At 40.5% G+C, this 12,512-nt stretch overlaps 1 pseudogene; it reads right to left on the reverse strand.

Annotated features, from left to right (window-relative positions):
* Positions 7,907-9,180, reverse strand: GAPDHP32 (glyceraldehyde 3 phosphate dehydrogenase pseudogene 32; annotated as a pseudogene).

Raw genomic sequence — 12,512 nt, forward strand, 5'->3', positions numbered from 1 at the left:
GGGCCTGTCGTTTGGTGGGGGAGGGGGGAGGCATAGCATTAGGAGATATACCTAATGTAAATGACAAGTTAATGGGTGCAGCACACGATCATGGCACATGTGTACATATGTAACAAACCTGCAGGTTGTGCACATGTACCCTAGAACTTAAAGTATAATAATAATAAAAAAAAGAACATGCTCCTTTAGTTCAGAGGAGTTTGTTATTACCCACCTTCTGAATCCTACTTCTGTCAACTCGTCAAACTCATTTTTCTGTTGAGTTTTGTTCCCTTGCTGGTGAGGAGTTGTGATCCTTTGGAGGAGAAGAGGCATTCTGGTTTTGGGAACTTTCAGCATTTTTGCACTGGTTTTTCCTCATCTTCGTGGATTTATCTACCTTTGATCTTTGATGCTGATGACCTTCAGATGGGGTTTTTGTGTGGGTGTCCTTTTTGATGATGTTGATGTTATTGCTTTCTGTTTGTTAGTTTTTCTTCTAACAGTCAGGCCTCTCTTCTGCAGGTCTGCTGGAGTTTGCTGGAGGTCTACTGCAAACCCTGTTTGCCTGGGTATCAGCAGTGGAGGCTGCAGAACAGCAAAGATTGCTGCCTTCTCCTTCCTCTGGAAGCTTCATCCCAGAGGGGCACCTGCCAGATGCCAGTCAGAGCTCTCCTGTATGAGCTGCCTGTTGACCCATGCTGGGACATGTCTCCCAGTCAGGAGGCATGGGGGTCAGGGACCCACTTGAGGAGGCAGTCTGTCCCTTAGCAAAGCTCGAGCACTGTTCTGGGAGATCCACTGCTCTCTTCAGAGCTGGCAGGCAGAAACGTTTAATTCTGCTGAAGCTGTGCCCACAACCACCCCATCCCCCAGTGCTCTGTCTCCGGGAGATGGGACTTTTATTTATGACCTTCTGACTGGGGTTGCTGCCTTTCTTTCAGAGATGCCTTGCCAAGAGTGGAGGAATCTAGAGAAGCAGTCTGGCTATAGTAGCTTTGCTGTGCTGTGGTGAGTTCCACCCAGTCCAAACTTCCCAGTGGCTTTGTTTACACTGTCAGAGGAAAACTGCCTACACAAGGTTCAGTAATGGCAGATGCCCCTCTCCCCACCAAGCTCAAGCTCCCCTGGTTGACTTCAGAATGCTGTGCTGGCAGTGGAAATTTCAAGCTAGTAGATCTTAGCTTGCTGGGCTCCATGCTGGTGGGGCACACTGAGCAAGACCACTTGGCTCCCTGGCTTCAGCCCCTTTCAAAGGAGTGAAATGGTTCTGTCTTGCTGGTGTTCCAGGCACCACTGGGGTACAAAAAATAACTCCTGCAGCTAGCTCAATGTCTGCCCAAATGGCCACCCAGTTTTGTGCATGAAACCCAGGGCCCTGGTGGTGTAGGCACCAAAGGGAATATCCTGGTCTGCAGGTTGCAAAATCTGGGGGAAAAGCATGGTATCTTGGCCAGATATCACAGTCCCTCATGGCTTCCCTTGGCTAGGGAAGGTAGTTTCCAGACCCCTTGTGCTTCCTGGGTGAGGCGACACCCCACCCTGCTTCTGCTCACTCATGGGCTGCGTCCACTGTCTAACCAGTCCCAATGAGATGAACCGGGTACCTCAGTTGGAAATGCAGAAATCACCCGCCTTCTGCGTTGGTCTCACTGGGAGCTGCAGATTGGAGCTGTTCTTATTCAGCCATGTTGCCAGATTCCCATACTCTCTATCTATTAAACAGTGCAGCAGAGGAAAATCAGAGGAAAGGGAAAAAAAAGCAGGTGTCATTAGAATACTTGGAAAAATAGTAGGTACTTTGGAGAATTGTGGTCATTTAAAAGAAGCTCAGAAGTCTAAATTAGATGTCATTGTAAATGGGTTGATAAAAAGAAAAGGGAAATTGACCATGATTCCACTGTTAGTCCTTCACTTTTTATTCAGGTCTCAAATTGGCTGCTGCTTTGGTGGACTGATAATTTCAGGACACAGAGTGGAGGGTCTTTAATCTGGCAGCAAAGATGGAGTGCTTGTGCTGAAAGTTCAGGGACATACTAAGAAAGAACATGTCTATGGGTGACTGTCTGGCTGTTGCAGCAGTAACAGTGCCATTGTGGGACAGGATGCCTAGATGACCATGATCCTTGAAGATGACCTCCATTACCCTGATTTGTGTGGCAACATGTGACTTGGAAAAAAATGGAAGCTTCATGATTTAGTCTGTTTGTGCTAGTATAACAAAATGTATGAGGTCGGATAACTTACAAACAATTGGAACTTATTTCTCATGTTCTAGAGGCTGGGAAGTCAGTAATGAAGGTCCTGTTATGTTCCATGTGTGGTGAGAGCCCAGCATCTCCTTCCAAGACAGCATCTTGTTGCTGCATTCTCTGCAAGAGATGGACACTGTGTCTTCACATGGTGGGAGAATGGAAGGAGCCACCTAGTTCTTTCAAGCCCTCTTATAAGGTCACAGTCCCATTCATGAGGACCCTGTCATCATATATTAATCATTTCCTAAAGGAACCAGTTTAAATCCTATCACATTGGCAATTAAAATTCAACCTATGGATCTGGAAGAGATATATTAAGACCATACAATTTCACAAGATCAAGAAGGAATACGGGACAAGGGTAATCTTGGTATAGCCTAACTCATGCACTGCTGCAAGGGACTTTGGGAATATTTTTTACTTCAAGTCACAGAGCCAAGGCCAGAGACAAGAAAAAACACAGGAGTGAAGGAAAGAGTAAAATATTCATTGTCAAGACCTAGAATGTTACGGGATTTTATGGCCCATTGACTAATATTTATTCTGTGCAATGCAATGACCTTCAAGAAAAGTAGCAGAGAGTTTTCAGATCAGGGATTCAGGAACCATAGAAACAAATTAAAATTGACTACTTCAGTTCTTCAAGAGTAAATAAGAAAGGATATATCTTTATTTTGGTCATATTGGATAGCTTTAGTAGATAGATGGAGGCTTTCTCAATAAAGTACTACAGAGCTAAATAAATGGCAGAGACTTAAGTCTAGGAAATCTCCTCTTACTCAGGAGTCTCCAAGAACATGACCTCAGACATTGGGCAGACTCATTAGAGAGCTCTCCCACCAGCCATGTCCTACAGCATATGATCAAACCTAGGCAGACTTTGCTGTCCTCTGGCCTGTTCCCCAACCCTCATACCCTTGTCCCCATCAGGAATCTGCCTCGCAGACAGTGGGACTTGGTGCCCTTTCTAGATATTTACTCTTTGGAAGTTCACATCTAGATCATAGAACTCTTTCTCACATACAACTTTTCTCACTCTCTTTTTATTTGTGTTCAATTCATAGCCATGGTCTCATGATTCTCCTCACATCAGAAAAAGATAAGAACATCTCAGTACTAAATTGTTCTTTGTGGTTAAATAAATAAATAAGTAAAGCCTTGAAGATAAGACTTGAAATCAGAGAAAACATAAGCAGGATGACATCCACCTCTCCAAACACCCAATCACAGTCTCATAAATCATTTTTTTTTCATGCTTTCATGCTGGCTAGTAATCATGTTGCAAAATTTACCAAAGTTTCTTTTTATTACAGGGACTTCAAAGCAGGCATAACGGACTGCTTAAGGTCATCTCTTCAACCCTGAAATCACCAGCTGAGGACTTGTGGGATTCAACAGAGATTGGTTTGTGGTAAGAGTGAAACAAATCACATGAGCATATAGTATTAAAGCAATCTGGTATACAGACAATGCAGACAATGATGTTAGCTTACTTTATAAGAGAATGTAGTAGAAGCTCTCTTTGAATACATCCACCTGGTGATAACTGTGCTCCTGGACACACATGTGTGTAATTTTTTAAGATGTGTCTGTACTCAGAGGACAAGATCCAAAATTCCAAGGGAAATGGCAAGAATATTAAGATAATGCCAAAATACTTTTCTCCACTGCTCAGAAACAGGGAAAAATGAATGTCCACAGTAAACTGAAGAGGTGCATATAAAATCTCAGAAGGAATCTCTTAACTCCTAGAAATTCTTACATTTGTAATGCAATCTGATACAAACATAGGCAAAAGACCTGAACAGACACCTTGCCAAAGAAGATGTATAGAATGCAAAAAACCATGTAAAAAGATATTCAACATCATATGTCATTAGAGAATTGCAAACTAAAATGAAAATAAGATACCACTGCACATCCATTAGAATGGTGAAAATCCACAACACTGACAACATCAAATGCTAGCAAGAATGTGGAGCATCAAGAATGCTCATCCATTGCTGGTGGGGATGCAAAATGGTACAGACACTTTGTAAGGCAGTTTGGCAGTTTTTTTTAAAACTAAACATATTCTTACCATATGATCCAGCAATCATGCTTTATTTAATTTACACAAATAAATTGGAAACTTATTTCTTAAAACTTACTTTGAAGTTAGATCTTCTTTTTTTTTTTTCTTTCTTTTTTTTTTTTTTTTTTTTTTGGACAGAGTTTCGCTCTTGTTGCACAGGCTGGAATGCAATGGCATGATCTTGGCTCACTGAAACCTTTGCCTCCAGGGTTCAAGTGATTCTCCTGCCTCAGCCTCCCGAGTAGCTGGGATTACAGGCATTCACCACCATGCCTGGCTAATGTTGTGTTTTTATTAGAGACGGGGTTTCTTCATGTTGGTCAGGCTGGTTTTGAACTCCCAACCTCAGGTGATATGCCCACCTCGGCCTCCCAAAGTGCTGGGATTACAGGCATGAGTCATTGTGCCTGGCTGGTTAGATCTTTATAGGGGTTTTATTCATGATTATCAAAACTTGGAAGAAGTCAAATTGTCTTTCGAAAATTGAATGCATAAACAAACTGTGGTACATCCAGACAATGATATATTATTCAGTGATAAAGAAGAAAAAAGCAATCAAGCCATAAAAAGACATGGAGGAAACTTAAATGTATATAAATGGAAGAAGCCAAAATGAACGGGGTACATGCACTGTGATTCCAACTATATGACATTCTAGAAAAGGCAAAACCTTGGAGACAGTAAAAACATCAATGGCTGTCAGGGTCAGGGTGCACAAAGGAATGAATAGGTAGAGGACAAAGATTTTAGGGCAGATGATACTAAAATGGTGGTGATATGTCATTATACATTTGTCAAAACTCAGAGAATGTAGAATACCAAGAGTAAACTTTGGACTTTGAGTGATAAAGATGTGTCAATGCAGGTCAATTCATTTTAATAAATGTACCATCCTGGTGGAGGGTGTTGATAGTGGGGGAGGTTATGTATGTTTGGATGTGGGAGTATACGAGAACTATCTGCTGTTTCCCTTAATCTTGTTGTGAAGTTAAAACTATTATAGAAAATAAAGCCCACTTTAAAACTTAAATGAGATAATACATGCAAAGCACCTGATATATAGTAAAGGGCTCAATTAATATATTATTAGAGCTCATATGTAGAGCTTTCTATGTGCAAGGAGATGTCCCGTATGACCTATTGGTCTGATCTTAACTGATTCATCTTTAAAATAAAGTTCTAGAGTGGACTTGCTGGGTCAAGTGTGTGAAAGTTTAAAATATTTTGTCAGATACTCACTAGAAATTTTCATCAACTTACACTTCCAAAAATAACACGCCTGTTTCCCCACATCTTCACCAACACTTAGTAACTTGAGATATTTTAATATTTGCTAAACTACTTGTGGCTTTCATACTGGGTTCAATGAAGGGTTCATGTTCTTTGTAATGCAAAAGAAATCCCCACAGAAAAAGGCACCTCACTGGAAGTATGACAATCTACCTTTTTTTTCCTTAAACATTGGAATTTCAAGAGCTCTTGCATCAGCATAAAGTTTGATTTCCTCTGAAAACTCAACTGGGGAAAGATCTAATTTCAAGCTCCCTTGCAGAGTTCTTGGGAGATTCAGTTCCTTGCAGGTTACTAAACTGAAAACCTCAGTTCCCCCTTGACTGTTGGATGCCTTCAGTCCCTTGCTATATTGTCCTCTCCAGCATGGCAGCTTGCTTCATCAAAGCCAATGAGAAAGCAGAAGTGTAAAAGCAAGATGGAAGTCACAATACTTTCTAATCTAATCATGGATGTAATATTTCATCACTTTTGTCCTATTATACCGGTTAAAACAATTCACTAGTTTTAGCCCACGTACAAGGGAATGAATACCAGGAGGTAGAGATCACTGGATTCACCTTAGAGGCTGGCTACTATACCATCACTGTCAGCATCTAGAGCACCTGGTTGAATGCCATCTATGTGACCTCACCCCACCCAAGATAACTGGCAGACAGAGTAATAAGTAGAAGAAGGAAATCAGATTTTTCTAAAGCCTACTCCTTCCTCACTTTGAAGGCCTTCTGGGAAAGACAGCAAAGTTGAGCTCATATAAACCAAAAGCTCTGGTCCCAGTTCTCCCTGTATGGTGGGGAGAATTGCCCATTCTTTCTTACTTCTGACAACTGGCTCTTCAAGTACACTTCAAATACCTGAGAACCTATTCATATCCATTCTCTGAATGGGAAGAAAATTGCTCCTCCTTGGCAAACATCTTTGGCCTGGGCAAAAGTCCCAGGCTCTCATTAGTATGGGAAACTTTCCACTTTTTTCATTTTTGTGGTCACTGTTCTCTTCTATATCCTTTTATGTATTAGTCCATAAGCACTAAGTTTTGAAAGCACTAAGACATTCTAGAGTCCTTGATTGTTCACCCATACTTCCATTTCTTTATTCAATAAACATGTATTAAGTTCCTATTATGTCAGATGTGCAAATTCTTATGGTAATAAAAAGATGTATGAGACATAGACACTTTATTTAGTCAAACACTCAACAATATTTGAACATCTACTGTGTACAAGGTGCTAAGGATCAATAAAGGAGTAGTGCAGTTTAAGACAACACAACAAAAACAAACTCTTCACTCCACTGGCTGTAACACATTTCTACTCTGAGATCTTCATGGCACAACTTCTTGAACAAGTGTTGTTTTCAATAGTCACTCTCTTCACATTTTTCTTCTATTCCTCAACATACAGAAGAAACGTGTGTTGGACTTTCCAGTTGAACTTTCAACCCAACTATTTGTGGAAATTGCTATTACCAAATTACTTATGATGTTGCCAAAACAAATGATCAATTCTCTTCCTGTTACATTTCATGCATCAGAAGCATCCAACATAGTGGACCACATTCTTTTTGAAATACTTTCTTCACTTGACTTTTACAACGCCATCCGCTCCTAATTTTCCTCCTGCCGGCCACCGACTCCTACTCAGTATCTTTAGCTGGCCCCTCCTCCTCTGTTCAACCTCTAAATGTCGATATGTCTATTCCAGGATTCAGTCTAGAAACTTTTCCTTTTATCCTTGAATATTCTTACCCTAGCTTATTTCATCTAGTCCTGGGCTTTTAAAAATCACTTTACGCTACTCATGTCCAAGTTGATCTCTCTAGGACTATAGCACAAGGGGTATAATTATTCTAAAGTAACCCAGAAGTTTAATAAGCTGGCCAAGAAGAGGGATTTTCTTTTTCCCAGCATGAGGGACTCTACCTAGTATATGTCTCTATAGAATGGGTGGCTTTCTCTCCTAAGAAAAGGAAAACCCTTTGCACGAGCCCCAAAAACTCTAGGTTCTGGGCAGTTGATTTTCCCAGATAATGTTGTGAACAGCTGGCACCTAAATCTAGACTGTTTCACACCAAAAGCCTGTGTGTTCCTCCATTGATAAAGCTGTGTCCTCATGCTAACATGATAAAAAATTATAGTAAGGGAAACTAGTCTTCCTACACTGAAACACAGACTCATATTGTGAGCCCAGTAATTTCCTGACCATTTATGCATCAGTGTAAGACAGGAGGATGGGGAAATCATGCAATCTATTCTTTTGCTGATTAGTAATCTTTGTGAGTTTTCCTAATACAGCATTTTTTTTTTTTTGGCTGAACGCAGAAGAATTTATTGATGGTACACAACAAGGTGGGGCTCCCTAGGCCTCTCCCTCTTCAGAGGGTCTGCATGGAAACTGTGAGGAGGGGAGATTCTCATTGTGGTGGGGCACTGAGTGTGGCAGGGACTCCCCAGAAGCTGAGGGCCTCTGTTTTCCTCTCATGCTCTCGCTGGGGCTGGTGGTCCAGGGATCTTACTCTTTGAAGGCCCTGTGGGCAATGAGGTCGATCACCCTTTTGCTATAGCCAAATTCATTGTCATACCAGAAAATGAGCTTGAGAAAGTGGTCATTGAGGGCAATGCCAGTCCCAGGATCAAAGGTGGAAGAGTGGGTGTCGCAGTTAAAGTCAGAGGAGACAAGCTGGTTCTCAGTGCAGCCCAAGATGCCCTCGAAGGGGAACTCCGATGCTGCTTCAACACTTTCTTGATGTCATCATTTTTGGCAGGATTTACATAGGCAAGTCAGGTCCACAAATAACATGTTGGCAGTGAGGACATGAAACGTCATGCCAGTAAGCCTCCTGTTCAACTCAGGGATGACATTTCCCATAGCCTTGACAGTGCCAGGAGATGCAGGAATGGCATTATGGAGAGCCCCGCGACTCTCATGGCATAGTTTCCTGGAGGGGCTATCCACAGTCTTCTGGGTGGCAGCGATGTGTGGACTGTCGCCATAAGTCCTTCCATGACACCAAAGTTGTCATGGATGAACTTGGCCAGGGGTGCTAAGCAGTTAGTGGTGCAGGTGACATTGCTGATGATCTTGAGGTTGTTGTCATACTTCTCATGGTTCATGCGCGTCTCAGATATGGGGGCGTCAGCAGAGGGGCAGAGATAATGACCCTTTTGGATCCCTCCTGCAAGCGAGCCCCAGCCTTCTCTATGGTGGTGAAGATGTCGGTGGACTCTATGATGTACTCAAGGCCAGCATCACCCTATTTGATTTTGGTGGGATCTAGCTTTTGGAAAATGGTGGTTAAATTTGTATTCATGACAAGCTTCCCGTTTTCAGCTTTGACGGTGTCATGGAATTTGCCATGGATGGAATCATACTGGAACATGTAGACCACGTAGTCGAGGTCAATGATGGGGTCATTGATGGCAACAGTATCCACTTTAACAGAGTTAAAAGCAGCCCTGGAGGCCAGGCACCCAATATAGCCAAACCAATTGACTCCAGGCTTCACCTTCACTGTGGTGCCTTGGGAATGCCACTGGCGCTGCACAAGAAAATGTGGCTGTCTGTCGAACGGGAGAAGCAGAAATCTACAGCATATTATTTAACCCATAATTATCATATTGAGAAATTCTTTGCGAAATCTGGTACCAATAGGTGGTGACTCAGATGGGCATCACTTGACATAGCATGCTGACCTTCCCCGAGCATCATGTGGACAATTCAGTTGTCTCAGTATTACTTGTTTAAAAGACTATCCTTTTGCTCCAATGAATTACTTTTGTGAAAATCAATTGACCCTATGATTTTGGCCGTTAACTAACACATAAGCAATAATTTCCTCAAAATGGATTATAGGCCTAAATTTAAAGGCCAAATTATACACCTCTTAGGAGAAAACATAGATTAACATACTCATGAACTTGAGTTCGACAAAATCCCGATGTTTCCTGGTAGAAGAAAAAAGTTGAAATATTGAGTCATGATCAAAACTAAAACTGTTTGCATTTTAAAAGACATCAATAAGATAATGGAAATATAATCCAGAGACTGAGAAAAAAATTTCAAGTCATACATTTGATAAAAGATTTGTATCCAAAATATAAAATACACTGACAACTAAATAGCAAAAAGATAAATAAGCCAATTTTAAGTTGGGCAAAATATTTGAATAGCCATTGCACCAAAAGGTGTAGGAATAGCTAATAAAGCACATGAAAAGATGGTCAGTATCATCAGTCAGCAGGGAAATGCAAATCAAAACTACAATGACACACCACTTCTTACCCACTAGAATGCTATGATAAAAATGAAGGACAATAACAATTGAGGAAGTGAAATAACAATGATGTGGAAAAATTGAAATACTCATGCATTGTTGATGGGACATGCAGCCATGTTGGAAAGCAGTTTGGCAGTTTCTTAAAACGTTGAAGATACATTTACCATATTACCTAGCACTTTCATTCCTTGTTGTCTACTCCAAAGGAAAAAAACCTATGTCCACACAACACATGAATGTGAATATTAGTAGCAGCTTTATCCATAATAGTCCATAAAGTAGAAACACATCAAATATCTATCAGCTGATGAAACAATAAACAAATGGGAGTGATCCATACAATTTAATAGAATTTAGCACCTAAAAAAATAAAATATTGATACGTGCTACAACACAGGTGAACCACAAAAGCACATTAATCTAAGTGAAAGAAGACAGATACAAAAAACCACATGTTGTATGACTCTATTTTTATGATATCCAGAAAAGACAAATCTGTAGTGTCAGTAAGTCAATTAGGGGTTGTCTGGAGCTGGGGAGTGGGAATAAGGGGTGGTATTGATGAGCATGAGGGATTTCTTAGGAATTATAGAAATGTTCCAAAACAAGATTGTGATGATGGTCAAACAAGTCTAAAATTTTACTAAAAATAATTAAACTGTACACTTAAAATAGGTGAATGTTATGATATGTCAATTATACCTCAGTAAAGCTGTTTAAAAACAAAAGAATGTTAGCAGTGTGGCCTTATTGACCCCTAATCAGTCTTGCTCTTTGTTTTATTTCTTGCTTTCTTTAGTGCTTACATTTATTAGTTTCACTCAGAGACTCCAAGAGACACTGGCTGAAATCTACCAGCCTCCAGAACTCTCAACTGCTAAGGGAATGAGTGACCCTCTCCTGAAGGCGATGGGGATTGTTAAGGTGCACTCCAGCATCTGTTATAGCACGTAAAGGCACATGATGCACCTGAGTGGTTTCAGGTAGTGCTCCACACGTCTCAGCAAGATCCAGGGCCTGCAGCTAGTTCTCTTAGCTTCAGAGAACAAGCTGCTGCATCCTGGGTCACAGGGCTAATCTTTCCTAGGCAAGTGCGTTTGAAGCGTTGATAGTCAGATCCCAAGTAGAAGGTGAATGTCTACAACATGGGAGGAGGGCAAGACCTAGAGTGGGGTTTCAAACCAAATCATTTCTGGAGTATTACTTCCAACAATTGCAGAAAGCATTCTTGTTAAGTGCTTATGGCATGTTCACCAACATAGACCATATGCTGCACCATAAAACAAGTCTCAATATATATCCAAAGATCAAAATCATACAGAGTATATGCTCTGGCCACAATAGTATTTGATTATAAAGGCATAACAATAAGATATCTAGAAAATCCCCAACTTTTAGAAAACAAGCAGCATGCTTCTGATTAACACTTGGGTCAAAGAAGAAATCACAAGAAAATATTTTAAACATCATTAACTGAATGATGATAAACCAGCATTAAAATGTTAGATACAGCTAACATAGTGTTTAAAGAGAAATTTACAACTTTAATTGTCTATACTGGAAATGAGCAAAGGAGTAAAGTTAATTATCTATGATTTTATCATAAGAATCCTGAAAAAGAAGAGTGAAATAAACCCAAAGTCAATAAATGTAAGTCAATTAAAAAATAATGAAAATCATGAAATAGAAAAATGAACAAACAATAGAGACAACCAATGGTCAATTTTTCTATACTCCATGCACAATACCTATGAGGTGGATTGGGGGAAGGGCAGAGAGATAACAGAGAACAGGCAGAAAAATCTTTCTGGAGTGAAGGAAATGATCTATATCTTCTTTTGGGTGGTACTTAAATGGGCATATATGACTGTCAAGGTTCACTGACACTGAACACTGGAGATCTGGGCATTGTAATATTTATAAATTACATCTCGATTTTTTAAAATAGAGGAAAGTGTCTTGGGGAGCTTACGATGGAGATATGTGGGCAGTTCTGGGGCATAGGCTTCAAAAGCACTTACAGCATCTCCAGGAATTTGCTGAGAATTGTTTTGCAGGCAAAAATATAAGATAAGTTCAAACATCTATGATAAAAGTAATTGTGGCATACAACTAAAAATCCCTATTCTTGTGGTACAGGTCATATCATTAAGTGGTTATCACTAGATAGCTTTCCTTCAATGATGTTCTTCATCTAGGAACACAGAAGTCTCCAGGGGAAAATGGCGATTGAAGTTTTGGATATATTGAGTTCGAAAGAAAGTCACCCCCATAAAACTTAGTGATTGGAGCTGTCACCCTTGCAAATTTCTAAACTCTGCAAGATAGCAGCAACATTTCAAATGATACTCTGACAGAGGAGATAATGGGCTAACGTAGATTTCCCTCCAGATGTATTTATTGCACAAGGACAAAATTCACATTTCACTGGGAGATTTCTCCCACTCTAGTTTAAGATCACAGGTTGCAGATCCCAGACAGCTGGTATCAACTGGCCAGTATCATGTTAAGACTAAACCCAAGACTCTATCACACTGCAGCCTTAAGATTGGATTTCTCCTACTGTTCCTGGGAAGAACTAGATATAACCTAAAGGTCACTATTCTCCTGAGATAAGGGATCCTGCAGGAGGAGACAGC

The sequence above is a fragment of the Homo sapiens genome, chromosome 1, assembly GCF_000001405.40.
Source record: "Homo sapiens chromosome 1, GRCh38.p14 Primary Assembly".
Lineage (NCBI taxonomy): Eukaryota > Metazoa > Chordata > Mammalia > Primates > Hominidae > Homo > Homo sapiens.